This window comes from Homo sapiens, chromosome 20, assembly GCF_000001405.40.
Source record: "Homo sapiens chromosome 20, GRCh38.p14 Primary Assembly".
Classification (NCBI taxonomy): domain Eukaryota; kingdom Metazoa; phylum Chordata; class Mammalia; order Primates; family Hominidae; genus Homo; species Homo sapiens.
In genome coordinates, this window is record NC_000020.11 from 50,193,276 (window position 1) to 50,213,816 (window position 20,541).

The window sequence follows — 20,541 nt, forward strand, 5'->3', positions numbered from 1 at the left end:
CAGGAGGGGAGAGGCCAGGCCAGGTGGAGAGAGGTGGGGGAGGGGTTCCCACACTTTGATTACCTTTCCTGAGGATGGGAGGCTCATCACTTGCTCTCTTTGCCCAGACTTGGACACTGAGCCCACCTCACCTGCCTGCTCAAGGTGGCTGAGCCCAGGCACAAACGTGGGGCTGCTAGCCCTGATTCCCTGGGACAGGCTCCTCTTCCCTGCCCACTGATCCCTTTGCCCCTTCCGGCTTCTCACCGCACCCCCTACTCCCATCCAGCCCTGGATGGCATTCCTGAGAGTTGAGGATGTAGATGGATGTGAGTGGATACATGTACAGCGTCCCACAGTGCCTGGCACGCAAGAAGTGTTATATAAGCGCTTGCTCTTGTTATTATTTTTTGCTGGGAAGCTGCTGGCATTTGGCACCCCAGTCTCCAGTGCAGCGCCAGTGTGGCCAGTACTTGCCAGGGGCCGGCATCTGGTAAACACTGGACCTGCCCCATCCCATTTAGACCTCACAATAACCTTTGGGAAGGTGGGGATTGTTATGACGCCTGTTTTTAGAGGTGGGGAGCAGCTTTGGGCTGTCCGATCCCTATGGGCAAGACACTGGTTGGGGGTTGCCCTGCCCTGAGGAATTCAGGGGCAGCAGGCATCGTAGCCTGGTTTGCCAAGGACCTGGGGCGGTCTGGGATCTCAGGAGCAGTTGCTGATACCGTGGTTCGCGAATGGGAAATGCTTTGCCCCTCCTTTTCCTTTTGGGGGCCTGGTTGTGCTTTCCCTGTGGGAGCCTGGGATGTGGGGAACAGACAGCGACACTCATCCCCCACCGCCACAAAGCGGAGGATTCCTATAAGCTCCACCTCCCTAATGCCAGTGTCTCCTGATGGTGGCTCGAGGGCTATGCAGATTGCTGGACACAGATAACCTCACTTCAACCTGGGACCTGCAGCGTGGCCCTGACCACGTCCCCTCCCAGCCCTGGGCAACTGGACAACTGGCCGGGCATGCCTTCAAAGCCTCGAAGTCAGTTCAGTCCCAAGCCCCACTGGTCTCGATGGTTTCTGTCAGTAGCAGCGACAGCAATGTGGGCTTGACCTCAAGGATTTACTTGCTGAAGGCAGAGGCTGAGGGGCTGGACCTAGGGAAGGAGGGAGGTGGAGAGGGTCGAAATTGAGGAACAAATCTCAAATCCCTGCTCCCTCCTTTGTCACCAAGAGTTGGCTGGTGGCCACTGCTCACCCAAATGAGGTGAGAGGGAAGCAGCCTGGCCAGACGGTGCCCCTCTTCCGCCCCCGTCTGCCCCACAGCTTCGCTTCTGTTTCCCCAGTGCTGTCCTGGAACCAGCGTTGAGTCAGTTCTTCACACACTCACATCTTGCTCTCATCCACAGTACCCCACAGAAGGTGCTAGACCCATTTCTAAAAGCACACATTGAGGTCCACAGAAGTGAGGTTTGTGCTCAAGGTGGGCTAGGTGGAGCAGGTTACAAAACCATCCGACTCCCAAGTCTATGGGGAAAGTTTGGGGCTGGGAGCCTGGTTTGTAATCCCAGTTCCTGTTTAAAATCCCAGGCTCTTCTTGGAGGGCTCCTTGCCTGACCTCAAGTTCAGGCACTCCAAGCCCCAGAACTGCAAACATCAGTTTCACAGTTTGGAAGCAACAGAAAGTGAATTTGAACCTGAACCCCTTGGGCTGCCTCTAAGGAGGGCTGGGAGAAGCAGTTCACAGGTTGAGGGCTTTGACGGTGGCTTGGTATGGGAGCACTGTGGACGGAGCTGTGCCCAAAGGACTTGGGGAGATGTCATAGTTAGGGCAACACCAACCCCACAGTTCACCAAGCTGCAAGGGTGAAGGGCTCGCAGGGAGGAACCAGTCCATTCCGACATCCAGAAACAGGAGGGGGTGGGATGGGGTGAGGCGAGCCCAGGAGGCCAGGGACGAGCCTTGAGGAATCATGATAATAGCAGGTGTGAGACAAGGGCTTAGATGTGCAAAGCACCACTCCAAGCCCTTGGCACAGAGGGAGGTGCTGGGTCCTTAGATATGTGGGAGAAAGCCGGTCATGTTAACCACAGACCCATTTAGTGTGTTTGACCACTGAGGCTAGCTGGGAGGTGGGAGCCTGGAACCCCAACTAATGTTTGCTCAGGACAAGAGAGTTCACAAAACAAGACACATTCACACCTCATAATCTTATGCAATTGTCCCACGGCCTGGTGATTTTAGCAAGGAGATAAGTGGATGTCAGAAATGAACGCTCGAGACACTGCTGGGTGCCGGTTCCACACTGACACTGTGCTCCTTGGTTTAATCAACTCATTAGCCTTTTGGAGGCTGCAGCTTTTGTTACTAGCATTTTGCTGCTGTGCAAACCAGCTTAGAGAGGTGAACTGACCTGTCTTAAGTTTGCACAGCTAAGAATGGCAGAAGCTGGAGTGGGAGTGAGAAGGGGAACTGCTCCTTCTGAACACCTGAAGAATATTTCCCTGCAGGCTGGGCGAGGTGGCTCACGCCTGTAATTCCAACATTTTGGGAGGCTGAGGACGGCAGATCATTTGAGGTCAGGAGTTTGAGACCAACCCCGGGCAAAATGGTCTCTACTAAAAAAATACAAAAATTAGCCTAGTGTGGCGGTGGGTGCCTGTAGTCCCAGCTACTCAGGAGGCTGAGACATGAGTATCACTTGAATCACAGAGGCGGAGGTTGCAGTGAGCCAAGGTCGCACCACTGCACTCCAACCTGGGCGACAGAGCGAGCGTGCCTCTGTCTCAAAAAAAAAAAAAAAGAATATTCCCCTGCCTTCCAAGTTTTGTCCAGACCTCTCTGAGACTGTTTTCTCCCAGTTTCTCAGTCGTTTTTTTGCCCAGTTATATTTTTCATTTATTTGACAAACATTTATTGAGCACCCGCTGTGTGCTAGGCCCCTTACTGGGTGTTGGGGACATGTGGTGGCCAAGATGGAGGTGATAATTTTCAGGGAGACACAGATGCTAAGTATCCAGTGACTGGAACAAGATAATGGCAGATGGAGTCAAGGGCTCTGCAGGAAGGAAAGTGGGGCAGAGGTGAGTGGGAGCGGTCCTGCGAGGCCCCTCCTAGGAAGTGGCATCTGAGCAGAGACCCCTGAGCCCAGGGAGTCAGGAGTATGGTGGGCTGCAGTTTACTGGATGCTCACTTTGCACCTGCTGGTGTCCTGCATGCCTTATTCTTAAAATCCCAATGATGTAGGTGCTTTTTTTTTTTTTTTTTTTTTTAAAGGAGTCTCACTCTGTCACCCAGGCTGTAGTGCAGTGGCATGATCCCGGCTCACTGCAAGATCCGCCTCCTGGATTCAAGCACTTCTCCTGCTTCAGCTTCCCAAGTAGCTGGCATTACAGGCTTGCTCCACCATGCCCGGCTAATTTTTGTGTTTTTCATAAAGATGGGGTTTCACCATGTTGGCCAGGCTGGTCTCGAACTCCTGACCTCAAGTAATCTGCCCATCTCAGTCTCCCAAAATGCTGGGATTACAGGCCTGAGCCACTGCACCCGGCCATGGGTGCTACTTATTACTCCCCCTCCCCAGATGGGGAAAATGAGGCACAGAAAGGTGAAGTCACCGGTCCAAGAGCTGGTGAGTGGCTGATGTGAGGTTTGAATTCTCACCTTGCATTTGAACCTGAGAGGCCTTCTCTGCCTGTTTTCCCCCATGGCCCTGAGCCTCTCCTTTGCTGTTTTCCTGTCCTGCCCTTCCACCCCCTCCTGAGTTCTTTCTCAGCTTGGCCAATCTCCTGCGTGGCCTGTGATGGCGTCCCAGCAGTCCCCGCTCCCTGTGGGATTTTTGATGGTGCATTGGCCGGGGCAGGGTAGTGAGGGAGGCCTGGGCTGGGCAGACCCAGGAGAGGCCAGAGTGGGCTGGGGAAGCCAGGGGCTTTCTGGGCTGGTGGTGTTAGCCCCTCCCAGGTGTCTTCCGAGACAGAAAGGAAAGAGTTCCATTTTACAGAGAGGAGACCCGAGGCTCTGAGAGGGGACAGTTCCTGTCCCAAGAGCAGCAAGGTTGGGATTTGAATCCAGGCCTGCCTGAGCCCCAAGCTCAGCCACTTTTCTGTCTGGTTGACTGCTCTGGGGAAGAGACACGGGAAGAACACAATTAGACACCTCTGAGGGGTAGGATGCTTGAGCAAAAGAGCTCTGGGCCTTGTCCCTTGGTTGCAGAGTGACCTTGGTTGAGGCACTTAGCCTTGCTGAACCTGGGCTTCCTCACCTGTGAGCACGGAGTACAGATATCACCCAGTGTCGAGCAAGCACCCATTGTGAGCCCAAGATGGTCCCTGACCCCCGGAGCTGTCATTGTGGTAGAGGAGACAATGTGTGGCTAGCAGATTGGCAAGCCCATTGCAGATTGTGATAAAGGCCCTGAAGAAAATAAGGTGGGGGAAGTGGAGGAGGGTGATTGGGGGGGAACGCGTAGGGAGCCTTCCAGGCTGGGGGAACAGCACACGCAAGGGCCCCGAGGCAGGGCCCAGCTCCGTGTGAGGAGAAGAGCCTGGAGCCAGCATGGCTGGAGCAGAGGCAGCAAGGGGAGGAGTGGGGAAGAAGAGGACAGGGGTGGGGCAGGGTGGGGGCACAGGGCTCCTCATGCAGGGGTGGAGTAGGGGAGGGGAGGATGGGGGCACAGGGTTCCTCATGCAGGGGTGGAGCGGGGGAGGGGAGGATAGGGGCACAGGGTTCCTCATGCAGGGGTGGAATGGGGGAGGGGAGGATGGGGGCACAGGGTTCCTCATGCATGGGTGGAGTGGGGGAGGGAAGGATGGGGGGGCACAGGGTTCCTCATGCAGGGGTGGAGTGGGGGAGGGAAGAATATGGGGGCACAGGGCTCCGCATGCAGGGGTGGAGTGGGGGAGGGGAGGATGGGGGCACAGGGTTCCTCATGCATGGGTGGAATGGGGGAGGGAAGGATGGGGAGGGCACAGTGTTCCTCATGCAGGGCTGGAGTGGGGGAGGGGAGGATGGAGAAAGCGGGGAGGGGTAGGCCACATCTTTCATGCAGGGTGTTGGAGGCTGGGCGGGCTGTGAGGTGGCTTTGAGGATGAGAGAGTGGGTGTCCCTGCCAGGTGTGGCACCCAGAAAGGCCTTGACAAGCCTGTGGAGGGAATGAAATAGGCTCCTGGGCCTTCGGGATGAGGTAAAGTGCAGTCGGTGAAGGGCACAGGGAGGCCTGCCCGGGCCCAGGAGACCTCGTAGGCGAGGAGCCTGTGACCCAGGGCCTGGAGCCACGGGGAGCAGTTCATCGGGCAGGAATGAGGGGAGGGCTCACCAGGAGGGGCGCTGGAGGAGCCAGGGCCGGGAGCCAAGAGAGGGAGAGTTCTTTGGGTAGCCCTGACTGCAGGGGAGAGGGCACCAACCCTTGTGGGGAGAGAGGCAAGGCTGGAGAGGGAGGGGTCTTCAGGGTGGGATTGGTGAGGGACTGGGGACAGGCAGGAGACAGGACCTCTGCGGGGGTGTTTGCTTTTTATTTGATTTCCCAAGTAATGCATGATTGTGATGGGAGGATCAGAGACTGCAGAGTATAAATAAAAGAAGGAAATAAAGAGCACTACTCAGAAATAAACCCATTAACACTTGCTGTGTGGCCTTGGGCAAGTTACTTCACCTCTCTGTGCCTCCATTTTCTTGTTTATTAAGTGGAATAATTAATAGTACCTGCCTCATAAGGTTGTTGTGAAGCTTAAGTGAGATAACACAACAAATTTAAAGCAGTGCCACACACAGTAGGTATTAGCTGTCATCATTATTCATATCATCATTACCATTTTGGTGGGTTAGGAGCTTAGATGCTAGAATTGGAATGCTGGTGTTCTGAATTCAACATTTTCTTTTTTTTTTTTCCCCCTTGAGACGAAGTCTTGCTCTGTCATCCAGGCTGGAGTGCAGTTGCGTGATCTCAGCTCACCGCAATATCCGCCTCCTGGGTTCAAGCAATTCTCCTGCCTCAACCTCCTAAGTAGCTGGGATTACAGGTGCCCGCCACCACACCCGGCTAATTTTTGTATTTTTGGTAGAGATTGGGTTTCACCATGTTGTCCAGGCTGGTCTCGAACTGACCTCGTGATCTGCCCGCCTCAGCCTCCCAAAGCGCTGGGATTATAGGCGTGAGCCACCGCGCCTGGCCCAAATCCACCATTTTCTAGCTCTGTAGTTTGAGGCAAGTGAATGCATCTTGCTGGACCTCAGTTCCCCCATCTGTAATAAGAAGATCATAAAATTCCTCACAGTGTTTTGCAAAGATTTGACAGGTTAACTCACACAGGGTAAGTTGTTAACTTCCAGAATTTTCATTCCATGTGTATTTTTCCTCATTGTGGCTAAAGTGGCCGATCCAATACTCATTCCTCTCCCTCTTTCTTACCAATGAGATCCTTCTATTTTGGGGGGGCAAGTACCCTACTAAGAGACTACAGTTTCCAGCTTCTCTTGCAGCTAGGGATGACCAGTGAGATTAAATAGAAGCTGTAGGTGGGACTTCTGGGAAAGCTCTTTAAAGGGGGTTGACTCGGCTGTGAGGCACATTCCCTTTTGTGTTCCTTCTCTGCCACCTCCCAGCCCCTGCTTCTTTCTACTTCCTGCCTGGAACTCAGATGTGATGGCCAGAGCTCCAGGGGCCATCCTGAATCATGAGGCAAACTCTGAAGCATGGAAGCCACATGCTGAGGATGGTGAATCCGAAAGACAAAAGGCACTGGGGTTCTTGATGGTGGTAGAACAGCCGCACCAGTCTTTACCTGCTTTGCTCTGGGCTTGTTTACATGAGAGAAAGAAATCTCTGCTTACTGAGGTCTCTGTCGTTTGGGCTTCCTGTTACTGGCAGCTGAGTCTATTTCTAACTGATATATTTGCCAGAACGGAATCAACCTGTGTGAGCTCTTTCACGACCTGCATTTTTTCATCATGCACCAGTGCTTCCTTGTTACGGACACTATTGCACATGAGCACAGAAATGCACGCTTTGCTTAGGAAAAAGAATTTCCATCAGATGTGGTGGAAGGATTTCTTTTTATTCATTTTAATTACAGAAGTAATGCACAAAGACCTCCTGTCATGAAAATATCCTGCCTGTCCTCAAGTGTCTCTCTCTCATGACTCTGAAATTTCAGTGTGCCTCAGCCCAGGCTTGAACCAAGCCCTTGAAATGGACAGAAATTTCTCTGCTGACCTCAGTGAGCTCCGCATTTTGTAGCCCTAGCCTGCATATGTGATCCACTAAGGGACTCCTCCGTTTGGAAACAGAGATGGTCAGGTCCTGCTGCAGCTCACAGAGCCTGTTGGCAGCTGCGCTGGGACCAGATGCCCCATGCCACCCTGAATAACCCTTCTGACCCATGCTGCCCGCCACCACCTGCTCCACTGAGGCCTTGGCCTGCCAGGGCTGGGAGGCACCTTTGCCAGCCTTCCTGGGGCCAGCCCAGCTGAGATCTCTGGGAGGTGAGTCTGGAGGCCAGGGAGCCGGGCCGGGTGAACTTTTATTTTTATAGCTGTCATCAGATCCCTGCCCTAGCCCTGGAGCCCTGGCAGGGACAGGGGTGGCCAAGGAGGAGGAAGACTCCTCAGAGAGGCTGGTGGGTGGGAGTCAGCAGGCTGTGGAGGAGAGAGAACTGGGGTGGGGGTCAGGGCAGCCTGGGGCACCTGACTCCAGCCAGGCCTCAGTCCTCTCATGCCACATGGCACCAGTCATCAAGCTCGCCTGGCTGACCCTCTTGTGGGGTGGTGAGGGACAAAGGGACAACAGGGACCCTTTCCTGCTTTTATTCTTGCAGGTCAGATGCAGAGCTAATTATGCTTTCCAGTTCTTAGGACACGATTGTCATCAGTCCTTGCAAAGCCTGCATTGCGCTTTAGTCTATTTTCCCGTGCATCACATTTTTTTCTCTTTCTTTCTTAGTGAAATATACACACACAGCAATGTGCACATAACACAGATATACAGCTCTGTGAATTTTCCTGGTGTTGACCCACCAGTGTCCAGATCAAGAAGAGATCATTCCAGCACCCCTGAAGCCTTTTGTGTCCCTTCTAGCCACCCCTCTTCCACACCTAAGGGTAATCATTATTCTGATTTCTAACAGCAAACATTAATTTTGCCTGTTTCTATGCTTTTATAGAAATGAAATCACACAATAGATGCTGTTTATGTCTGGCTTCTTTTATTAAGTATTGTAACTAACATTCATTCAAGTTGTTGTGTGTATCAGTATTTATGCCTTTTTATTACTGAGCAAAATGACATTACATGGACACACCACAATGGATTTACCCATTCGATCCCTCATGGACATTCAGGTTGTTACCAGTTTTGAGCTCTTTAGAATTGGGCTGAGATGAATATTTGAGGGATCATGTCTTTTTTTTTTTTTTTTTTTTTTCTTGAGACAGACTTGTGCTGTCTCCCAGGCTGGAGTGCAGTGGTGCAATATTGGCTCACTGCAGCCTCTGTCTCCCAGGTTCAAGTGATTCTCGTGCTCAGCCTCCCGAGTAGCTGGGATTACAGGTGCCCACCACCACACCTGGCTAATTTTTTGTAATTTTAGTAGAGATGGGCTTCCACCATGTTTGCCAGGCTGGTCTCGAACTCCTGACTTCAGGTGATCCACTCGCCTTGGCCTTTCAAACTGCTGGGATTACAGGCGTGAGCCACCGCACCCAGCGAGGGGACATGTCTTTTGATGAACATATTCACATATTTCACTTAGAAGTGGCTTGCTAAGCCATCAGAAATCTAAAAATATATGTTTTAATTCCTGTTAATGGTATTGAAACTTAGCTCTCATTCTGTTTTTTACTTTTTTACTGTGTATTTTTAAAAAACTTTTTAGTTTGAGAAACGTCTCAAATTGGTTCTCTTGAATTATTTGAGAATAAATTGCTGACCTGTTGCCCTATCACCCCTTAATGTTTTGATACATAGTTTCTACAAACCAGGGCATTTTCCTAGATAGCTACAATATAACCATCATAATCAGGAAATTAACAGGATACACCATGACTGTCTACCAAGACCCATTCAGGTTTCACCAGTTGCCCTGATAACATCCAGTAAGGGAATCCAGTTTGGGATCATACTTTGTGTTTATTTTTAATTTTATTTTATTTTGAGACAGGGTCTCACTCTGTCACCCAGGCTGGAGTACAGTGGTGTGATCATAGCTCACTGCAGCCCCAACTACCTGGGCTCAAGCGATCCTCCCACTTCAGCCTCCTGAGTAGCTAGAACTACAGGCATGTGCCACCCTGCCTGGCAAATTTTTGTATTTTTTGTAGACACAGGGTTTCACTATGTTGCCCAGGCTGGTCTGGAACTCCTGGGCTCAAGCAATTCTCCCACCCTGGCCTCCCAGAGTGTTGGGATTACAGGCATGAGCCACCGCGCCCGGCCACATGTTTTGTTTAGTTCCACATCTCTCTAGTTGCCTTGAAGGTAGAACAGTTCCTTAGTCTTTCCTTGACCTTCATGACCTTGACACTTTTGAGGATACAGGGCAGCTGTTGTACAGCATTACAGCATGTCTTTCCCTGTGGGTTTGTCTGATGCTTCATTGTGGTGAGATTCAGGTTCTGCAGCTCTGGCAGAAAAATCAAAGAAGCGATGTTATGTTCTTCTCCTCGTCCCATTGCTGATGGTGCACTCTTTGATGACTTGATTGAGGAGATAGCTGCCAGACTTCGCATCTGTAGGGTTACTTTCCCCGCTCTTTGTAGTTAATCAGCATTTGAGAGGAGGCACGCTGAAACTGTGTGAATTTCTTGAATGTCATCAGACTTTCAATTATTCATTTATTTCTGTCAGTATAGATTCATAGTTTTCTATTTTATTCAGTGGGTTGTGGTATATCATCATCATTGTTAACTTATTTATATGCTTAAATTGTCCCAGATTTGGCTCCTGGGAGCCACTTTTAACTAGCTTCTGTGTCACCATCATTCTTTGAGCATTTTCTTACTTTCTGGCACAGTGAGGTACTATAAGCTCATCTGGTATTTTTTCTGCCCCCAGCTCTGGAATCAGCCACTTCTCCCAGGAGCCCTGGTTCCTTTTAGTAGAGAATGGAATTTAGAAGCCAAAATCTCAGGACAAAGTGCTCATTGCTGTTGGGGTGTCTCCACTGCCTGACTCTCTCAGTGGACAGAGTTAAGGACTGTATATATGTATATATAGAGACACATATTTACAGCTGTGTTATTTCTGTATCTAACTATTATCTGTCTATCATCTATCATCTATTTAGAAAAATGAGTGTACACTGATAACTGCAGTTCCCATTCAGCATCACAGAGTTTATTCTAATTTTCTCTTTCCATATTTGAAACTCTCTTTTCCATCAGTGAGAAAATAGGCTTCCATTATTCTTAATATATTTGTTTATTTGACCCATCCCCTATATGTAACCAGTTTGCTGTCACTGTCCCCCCACCTCTGTTCCATGATTGGTCACCCTCCTTACCCTGTTCAGTCTCTGGCCCCACACTATGCCACCCTTCTTATGGATGGCCTCAGATCAACTTCACCATGGCCTCTATACATTTTTCCTTTCAATTTGAATACATAATATGTGCTCATTGTTCAAAATTCAAAAGGTGTGAATGGATTTGCAATGAAAAGTCTGTCTCCCTCCCACTCCTGCCCCCACATTCCCAGATCCCTCTCCCAGAGGTTACTGAAGTTTCCAGCAGCTTTTTCTTATTTCAAATGGTCTATGTGAGTGCACCCAAACACACACACACACACACACGATATTTATGCACACTGTAGCACATTTTTTACACTGACCTGTGCTTTGCTTTTCTCACTCAACAATGTATCTTGGAGCTTGTTCATATCAGTACTATAGAGCTGCCACATTCCTTTTAATGGTTGTATAATATTCCATTGGATGGATGTACCATAATTATTTAACCAGTCTCTTTCTGATGGACATTTAGATTGTTTCCAGTCTTTTTCTATTTCACACAATGCTGCAACAGACAATTCTATCCAATAGGTCACATTTTACATGAGTGCAGCATATATTCCTGGAAGAATAGGCTTGAGAGATGCCTCCAGGTTGCTCTGTGTCCCTCTGATTCATTACTTTTTATGCTGATGCATAACATTCCTCTGTATGTATCTGCCACATTTTAAGGAACCACTGCCCTTGTGGTGGACAATGATTTTGCCTCTAAGTCCCCACAGCCATAAACACTGTTCTGACAAGCATTGTTGAATGTACCTCTGTCACAGGGCAGGTTGTGTGGATACTGAAATGGAGTTTGGAGTGCAAGATGTTTGTGGGGGTCAACACCTGAGAAATGGAGGGGGTGCAAGAAGGACTGGGCAGATGAAGTCATCCAGCAGCGATGCAGGCCTGCAGAGCCCTGAGCAGTCTTGGGAGCACCGGAGAGGAACTTGCTTGTTGGGTGCCCTGTGTTGGGCAAAATGGCCAGACCTTTACACCCTGCCTTGGTCTGTCTGGCTTTCGGGCTGCCCTGGGAAGGATGGCTGGGGCGAGATGGCTCTCTGCAGCTGGGACAGCTGTTGGTGGCTGGAGTTCATCACCTCATCATACTCCCTGCAGCTGGTTCTCCCCTGAAGGAGACCTAGGTGGTACATCTTTGTGTTTATCAGCCCCCTAATGGTCTTCTCAGAGTGCCTCTGGTGTATTTACCCAGGAGCGGGATTGCAGAGTCTTAATGTCACTAATAGGGCCAGATATCCCTGGTCTCAGCCACCCCACAAGGATCAGAGATCTGCATTTTTGAGGTAGTGAGATTGTGATCATGGAATGAACTGAGGCTGACTCTCTAAGGCCCCCTGCCCTATGCCGGGCCGTTCCTCCTCATCGTCCCTCGTTCCTTCGTGATCTCCCTATAGGGCTCATGAGTTGGATGGATGTGAGTCTAAATCTCAGCTTTGTCACTTAGATGTTTGACCTGGAGTTAGTGACCTCTTCTTCCTGAGCCTCAGTTTCCTCATCTATGCAATAGGTCTTGTCACATCCTTGACTTTTGTGCATTGTGGGTCTTGGTGAAAAGTAAGCCCTCAGTACATGACAGACCATATATCAGGAACACAGCATCACTTCTGCTGTATCCCTGCAAATATATATCAGACACGGAGACCGAATCTAATCACGGGAAACATCCGAGAGATCTGAAGTGAGGAGCACTTTGGGAGGCCAAGGTGGGTGGATCACAAGGATAAGAGATAGAGACCTGGCCAACATGGTGAAACCATCTCTACTAAAAATACAAAAATTAGCCAGGCATGGTGGCCTGCACCTATAGTCCCAGCTACTTGGGAGGCTGAGGCAGGAGAATTGCTTGAACCCGGGAGGCGGAGGTTGCAGTGAGCTGAGCCTAGATTGCACCACAGCACTCCAGCCTGGCAACAGAGCGAGATTCCGTCTCAAAAAAAAAAAAAAAAAAAAAAATAGCTGGCCTGCATCCTCGAACATGTCAAGGTCATGTGGGTCAAGGAGAGACTGAGAAAGGAACTGTTTCAGGCCAAAAGAGCCTATATACAACTAAAGGAAGCTACATGCGTGCGATCTTGGGACATGATAGGGTCCCCATCACATTAGGGCCCCAGGTCTTTGTGTTTCTAAGGCTGGAGCTCGAGCTACCTCAGGCTCAGGATGGGGGACACTTCCCCTTAAGCAATGAGAAGGAGAGAGGCTGACTTGGAGAGAACAGGGAGTCAGGGAGCTTGGGCTGGATTGTTATTCCCCAAGAAGAGTTGCAACTGGACTTTCGCTTCAGTAATGTTTAAAAGAAAAATGCTAATCTAGATAGGGACTGCCATTCATTCATTCATTCATTCATTTATATTCCTCTTAACAACTTGTGACTTTGGGCATGTGGCTTAACTTCTCGGTTCCTCAGTTTCCTGTTTACAAAATAATGATGGTAATAATAGTACCTATCTCACAAGATGTGGAGAGGATTAATGGAGATGATAGGTGCAAAGTGCTTAGAATACTGCCTGGCATATAGTAAATGCTCAATAAATATCAATTATCATCACAAGGAATTTACTCCACAATTCATTTACTGAGAATGTGCAACATGCCAGAGTTAGTTGTCACTCTCCACCTGGAACTAGAACCACGGAAAACCTTAGATCCCATAAAACCAGAGCCTAGCAAAGATGACAGGATCTTAGTGTGTCACTACCCTGCCCATCAGTCTGGCTGCCAATGATGGTTTAAGATCCCACGCCCCCTACAATTTGAGCCCAAGGCCTCCTCCTGACAGCCATGTGAATGCCCCACGCCTCAGTTCCCCAGATGTTGTGACAGCCTCAAACACTCTCCAACGGCACTGATTTGAACCCTTGTAAACGCAGAAAAAAACAAGTCTTAGGCGGCAAAACCCCATTTGTGCAATGTGGACTCCCTTCCTCAAGTCCTGGGTGATGCTGAAGGGTCTGAATCTGCCTTTTCTTTCCCGCCTGTTGGGCCCTGGTAGAAAGTAGCAGCTGGGCCAGGGTTGGTGGCTCACGCCTGTAATCCCAGCACTTTGAGAGGCCAAGGCAGGTGGATCACTGGAGGTCAGGAGTTTGAGACCAGACTGGCCAACATGGCAAAACCCCGTCTCTACTAAAAATACAAAAATTAGCTGGGTGTGGAGGCACGCACCTGTAATCCCAGCTACTTGGGAGGCTGAGGCAGGAGAATGGGTTGAACCCAGGAGGCGGAGGTCGCATGAGCCGAGATCACGCCACTGCACTCCAGCCTGGGTGACAGAGCAAGACTCTGTCCCAAAAAAAGAAAAGAAACTTCAGGATATCCTTCAGCTATATTGTTTATATTTTTCCCCACTTTGTCTTTTCCCCCATTTGTATTTTTTTCTTTTGCCTGAATTATTTGAGAGGCAGCTGTAGACATGACATCACTTTATCCCCAAACCCTCCAGGCATGAGCCACCATGCCCAGCCCATGCACACTATAGATTAATGTTAAAAGCATTATGCTGAGGGAAAGAAGCCAGACACAAAAGACGACTTTCTGTGTGATTCCTCTGATATGAAGTTCAAGAACAGGTAAGATGAATCTAGAAGGCACAAAAGTGGTTCCTTCTGTGGGGTAGAGGAGTCATTGCCTGCAGTGGGACATGAGGAAGACTTCTGGGATCTGCAAAATTCCTATGTTTTACCCCAGGTGGTAGTTCCATGAATTTATCCATATATAAGAATTCAGGCCAGGCATAGTGGCTCACACCTGTAACCCCAGCACTTTGGGAGGCCGAGGTGGGAGGATCACTTGAGCCCAGGAGTTCCAGACCAGCCTGGGCAATGTAGGGAGACACAGTCTCTACAAAAAATAAATAATATTAGCTAGATATGGTGGTATACACCTGTAGTCCCAGTTACTCAGGAGGCTGAGGTGGGAGGATCGCTTGAACCCAGGAAGTCAAGGCTGTAGTGAGCCATGGTTGTGGCACTGCACTCCAGCCTGAGTGACAGAGCAAGACCCTGTCTCAACAACAACAACAACAACAACAACAACAAAGAAGAGTTCATTGAGCTGTCTGTTTATGCGCTTTACTGTACATATGTTAAACGCCAGCATCAAAGTAGAAACCTAAAATCAATGAACTCATGCTGCACATTGAACATAGGAGAGTCAGGTGGGCAGGGAGTAGGGATTGGGGTGAAAGGGAATAAATGAATACAACTAGAGGGCAGCCTGTGTGGGCAATCATGATAACATGTTGCGAATTGAGGCATCAGATAACGTCACCCTGCACACCTGAGGTTCAAAAAGAAAAGCCAAAAAAGACCCAGGAGCTCAGAGGGGGAGTGTACCTTGTCTGAGGTCACACAGCTGGTGGGTGGCAGAGGCAGGATTTGAACCTGGGTCTGAGGAACCCCAGAGTGTGCTCCTTACCCAGTGCTCTGGCCTGGACTCTCCGGGCTGGACAGCTCTGCTGTGCTCCCAGAGGTCCCTAGGGTCTGGCAGGGGATGGCGAAATGACTGCTTGGCAAAGACCATTGCAGCTCAGAGCTCACAGCTCCAAGTCGGGAGGGGAGTCAGTGGAGCAAAGGGTGGCTCCCATCCCTGGAGCCTTCCCTCCCTGGCCTAGGGTGGCTCTGCCACCCTCCGTCCACCTCCCGCCGGCCTTTGCCTTCCTTCCTGGGCCAGCGTGTGGACTCTGGAGCCCTGCAGGGTTGGGTGTGAATCCCAGTTCTTCTTCTTTCTGGCTCTGCAACCTGGGGTGAGTGGCCTACTTTGTACCTCCGTTTCCACTTTCAGAGCCTGCCTATGACAGCATTTACTTAATAGCATTGGTGAGCAGAGTCGAGGAGTCAAAAGTGTGCAGAACTCAACACCATGCCGGCATGTGCTAATTGTCCAATAATGGCAGCTGCTATTGCTGTTGTTGATGTTATTGCTCCTTGGGAGAGGGGAGCCCCTGTTGCTCTAAGGCCTTACAAACACCAACATGTGAAAACAGCTGGCATGGAATGGAAAGTTCTAGAGAAAGGAGCTTTCTGACTGCCTGAAGGTTATCAGAAAACTTTCTATGCTGGTTTTTGTGAAAGCTCTTGGTAAGCTAGGGTAGAACCAGGGTGGCTTCATGGGAGTACCATCTAGGCAATTCCACAGAGCCCCTTGTTTGGAAGGGCCCCCACTTGGTTTACAGGTCTGCTGTTGTCATCTTGAAATTCTCTCTCTCTTCTTTTTTTTAGATAGAGTCTTGCTCTGTTGTCCAGGCTGGAGTGCAGTGGTGTGATCATGACTCACTGCAGCCTCAACCTCCCAAGCTCAAGTGATCCTCCCGCCTCAGCCTCCTGATTATCTGGGATTACATGCACATGCCACCATGCCCGGGTAATTTTTATTTATTTTTATTTTTATTTTTTGAGACAGAGTCTCACTCTGTTGCCCGGGCTGGAGTGCAGTGGCGCCATCTCTGCTCACTGCAACCTCTGCCTCCTGGGCTCAAGCGATTCTCTTGCCTCCTGAATAGCTGGGATTTCAGACACCCATCACCACGCCTGGCTAATTTTATACATATATATATATATATATATATATATATATATATATATATATATATTTTTTTTTTTTTTTTTTTTTTGTTTTTTTTTGAGACAGAGTCTCACTCTGTCACCAGGCTGGAGTGCAGTGGCAAGATCTCGGCTCACTGCAAACTCCACCTCCCAGGTTCTAAGTGATTCTCCTGCCTCAGCCTCCTGAGTAGCTGGGACTACAGGTGAGTGCCACCATGCCCAGCTAATTTTTGTATTTTTAGTAGAGACAGGGTTTCACCGTATTGGCCAGGATGGTCTTGATCTCTTGACCTTATGATCCACCCGCCTTGTCCTCCCAAAGTGCTGGGATTACAGGCGTGAGCCACCATGCCTGGCCAATTTTTATATCTTTAGTATAGATGGGGTTTCACCATGTTGGCCAGGCTGCGTCTTGAACTCCTGACGTCAAATAATCTGCCCACCTCGGCCTCCCAGAGTGTTGGGTTACAGGCATGAGCCACTGTGCGCAGCAATTTTTATTTTTATTTATTTATTTATTTTGAGACGGAGTTTTGTTCTTGCCCAGGCTGGAGTGCAATGGCACGGTCTTGGCTCACTGCAACCTCCGCCTCCTGGGTTCAAGTGATTCTCCTGTCTTAGCCTCCCAAGTAGCTGGGATTACAGGCGCCTGCCACCACGCCTGGCTAATTTTTTATACTTTTAGTAGAGACGGGGTTTCACCATGTTGGCCAGGCTGACCTCGAACTCCTGACCTCAGGCAGTCCGCCCGCCTCAGCTTCCCAAAGCTCAGGGGTTGGAGGCATGAGCCACTGCCCCCAGCCCTGGTAATTTTTAAAATTTTATTTTTTGTAGATATTGGAGTAGGGAGGAGTCTCTCTATGTTGCTCTGGTTGGTCTTAAACTCTTGGGCTCAAACAACCCTCCTGCCTTACTCTCCCACAGTGTTGGTATTACAAGCATGAGCTGCCGCACCTGGCCTTGAAATTCTTAATGATTTGTGAACGAGGGCCCTGCATCTTGATGTGGCCAGTCCTGGCTGTACTGTGGCATCCGGCATGGTCACCTAGTACTTTCACCTGAGTTGTCTCCTGAGTGCTCAGGAACACTCTTTGAGGGCAGTTGTCCTCATCGTTAACCTCACTGACCTCAGTTTCCTTACCTGGGAAACGGGAGGAAGTGCATTGTGCCAGGCCACAGAGAAACAATGGGTGAACCTTGGTCTTCTGGCCCTCAGATTCTATCAGTGGGAAACTTGGGCAAGTAAGGGCTAGGCATGCCTACGTGTGTGCCCCTGGAGCACAGAGGAGGTTCTCAGTAGCTACAACTTGCTCTTTGATTCCCTGGCTGGCCTCTCTTTTTGCCCTAAATTTTTTTTATTAAAAAAATTTTTTAAGACACAAGGAGACAGGGCATTAGAGGAAAGAGCTAATACATCCAACCCAGGTGATGGGTTGATGGGTGCAGCAAACCACCATGGCACATGTTTACCTATGTAACAAACCTGCACATCCTGCTCATGTACCCCGGAACTTAATAAATAAATAAATAAATAAATAAAGAGACTGAGTCTTGCTATGTTGCCCAGGCTGGAGTACAGTGGCACAATCATAGCTCTTTGCAGCCTCAAACCCCTGGGCTCAAGTGATCCTCCTGCTTGATCCCAAAGTGCTGGGATTATAGGCGTGAACCACCGTGGCTGGCTGTCTTTTTGCCTTTTTACTAAGAAATTTTGATTTAAATTGATAATAGTAATACAGGTATCCATTCTCTTAACACATGATAACATTTCCAATCAAGCTGAAGTCAGTTCTGGACCATCTGGCCAGGGCTGGCTCCTTTTCACTCTGTCAGCGTGGTTTTATAATTTTGGGGTTTGAACTTCCAGATCTTTGTGTATGCATTTCTTTCATCTCTGTGTGAATGTGGCTTTTCCTTCCTTCCTTTCTTTCTGTTATATCTTTTAAAATGTGAACTTTTACAGAAGTCTAAGCAGGGTACAGAAGATACATTTTTACCACCTGAACACACCAGTGTGAGCAGCACTTGGATAAAAAAGCAGAACTTTTTTTTTTTTTTTGAGACAGGGTCTCACTCTGTCACTGTAGACTGGAGTGCAGTGGCGAGATCTCGGCTCACCACAACCTCTGTCTCGCAGGCTCAAGCGATTCTCCTGCCTCAGCCCCCTGAGTAGCTGGGATTACAGGTGTGCACCACTACTGCCCGGCTAATTTTTGTATTTTTAGTAGAGACAGGGTTTCACCATGTTGGCCAGGCTGGTCTTGAACTCCTAACTTCAGATGATCCACCTGCCTTGGCCTCCCAAAGTGCTGGTATTACAGGTGTGAACTACCACACCTGGCCTGAAACAGAACAAACATTTTTAATCACTGAAAAATGTTTCTGTCTAGGACAACTGCTCTCCTGACTTCTAACAGATTACATTGTTTTGCCTGTTCTACAACTTCATATCAATGGAATCATTCAGAGTATTTGCTTTTGTGTCTGGCTTCTTTTGCTCAGTTAAACTTTTAAAGTTCCTCTATGCAGTACTGTACAGCTTCATTCTCACTACTGTGTTGTGTTCCACTGTCCACTGTGTGACTATACCATAGTCCAGTCTACTGTTGGTAGACAGTTGGGTTATTTCAAGGTTTTGGTTGTTGTGAATAAAGCTGCCATGGACATTCTTCTTTGTGTCTTTTTTCTTTTTCTTTTTTTTATTTTATTTTACGAGTTGGGATCCTGCTTTGTTGCCAAGGCTGGAGTGCATTGGTGCTATCACAGCTCACTGCAGCCTTGAACTCCTGGGCTCAAGTGATCCTCTCATCTCAGCCTCCCGAGTAGCTGGGATCATGGCTATGAGCCACTGCACCCAGCTCTTGTTTGTGTCATTTGGTGGATGCCAGCTCTTGTTTCTATCAAGTTTATACCCGAGGCATCATCACTGGACACATCATTCACGTGTGTTGAGTTTCTGCATATTTCCAAACAGTTTCCAAAGCATTTCGCTACTGCTGTCCTCCATATTTCTGGCCCATCTCGCTCCTTTTTTTTTTTTTTTTTTTTTTTTCAGATGGAGTCTTACTCTGTTGCTCAGGCTGGAGTGAGGTGGCACCATCTCAGCTCACTGCAACCTCCGCCTCCTGGGTTCAAGCGATTCTCCTGCCTCAGCCTTCTGAGTACCTGGGACTACAGGTGTGTGTCACCACACCCGGCTAATTTTTTTGTTGTTGTATTTTTAGAAGAGATGGGGTTTTGCCAGGTATCCGGGCTGGTCTCGAACTCCTGACTTCAAGTGATCTGCCTGCCTCAGCCTCCCAAAGTGCTGGGATTACAGGCGTAAGCCACCATGCCTGGCCCCATCCCTTGATTCTGAGTACACCTGGAGAGGTCAGTCTTTTTAATATGAGCTATTTGGCCATGTGTGTAGTAATATCTCATTGTGGTTTCATTTGCATTTCCGGATGATCGTTCTTTTTAATGCCTTGGCGACCTCACACCAGCCATCTCAATGGGACTTGTTCCTGTCCTTCCGTGATGTTCTTGAGAGCCGTCCACATGGTGCGTTTGCCAGTTTCCTCCTTTGGAAGGTGGCAAGGTCTTCCCACTTGATAAGGACGTCTCCTGTGACTTTGCCTCTGCCCCATATTTCTAGTCCATCTCTTTCCTTGACTCTGAGACCTTTCTGTAAGCGGGGACTCCATGATGTTCACACACTTGGTGCCCGGTAAATAAACAGCTAGTAAATGGACTGACGGAAGCAAAGGGGAAGAAAAACAAAAAAAACCCTCCTCCCCCAAACCCCAATTTGGTTAATTGAGGGGTTCCACTGGGGTGATTTTTGGTCAATTGGAGTTTGCTTGTGAAACCGGTAAGAGCATGGACAATCAACCATAAGGTAGCAACACGCACTGAGCCCAGCACTTTCCAGAGAATTATCACACTGTGGATGTCACAAGGATGTTGGGAGGGTCTAGCTGGCCGGTGGGATCAGCTACCCCTCAGGCCTCCGATATTTTCCTGAGGTTCCACAACCGGGAAGTGGCTGGGTAAGGTTCCTAGACCCAGGGCCTCTGATCCTACTTGCCACGATGTTTCCATCTTGTTCTGTGCTGTGTCTGCAACTCACAGCCTGGCACACAAAAGACTCTCAAAGATGTGCTCCAGGAATGACTTTGATGAGCACACACCACACACCAGGTGCTGTGCTAAGCCCGGGGATACAGAAGAGAATAAGGCGGCCCCAAGCCCCACCTTCATGGCGGGTCCATTATTGGGGTGGGGGATACAGGTGGTCCGATGATGAGTGCTAGGGAGGAAAATAAAGAAGGGGAGGGAGAGGAGAGTGTGTGTGTGTTTGTGTGTGTGCATGCAAGAGGGAGAGAATCAGAGAGAGAGTGCGTGAGTGTGAGGAAGAGAAGGATGTTTCACTTAACCACAGAGGTCAGGGAATGCCTGGCTGAGGGAAGGTGCTATTGGGTGGGGTGGGGCGGGGGAGCCATGAGGTCTCTGGGGAAAGAGGGAATGGCATGGCAAGTGCA

At 49.3% G+C, this 20,541-nt stretch overlaps 3 annotated features.

Annotated features, from left to right (window-relative positions):
* Nucleotides 262–823: an enhancer, noted in NCBI's record as "H3K4me1 hESC enhancer chr20:48810074-48810635 (GRCh37/hg19 assembly coordinates)". NCBI's record gives its function as "activates a minimal SCP1, AML or CMV promoter by ChIP-STARR-seq in naive H9 embryonic stem cells {active_cell/tissue: H9 hESC(naive)}" and the evidence as "EXISTENCE:reporter gene assay evidence [ECO:0000049][PMID:30033119]".
* Nucleotides 4,663–5,180: an enhancer, noted in NCBI's record as "H3K4me1 hESC enhancer chr20:48814475-48814992 (GRCh37/hg19 assembly coordinates)". NCBI's record gives its function as "activates a minimal SCP1, AML or CMV promoter by ChIP-STARR-seq in primed H9 embryonic stem cells {active_cell/tissue: H9 hESC(primed)}" and the evidence as "EXISTENCE:reporter gene assay evidence [ECO:0000049][PMID:30033119]".
* Nucleotides 5,181–5,696: an enhancer, noted in NCBI's record as "H3K4me1 hESC enhancer chr20:48814993-48815508 (GRCh37/hg19 assembly coordinates)". NCBI's record gives its function as "activates a minimal SCP1, AML or CMV promoter by ChIP-STARR-seq in primed H9 embryonic stem cells {active_cell/tissue: H9 hESC(primed)}" and the evidence as "EXISTENCE:reporter gene assay evidence [ECO:0000049][PMID:30033119]".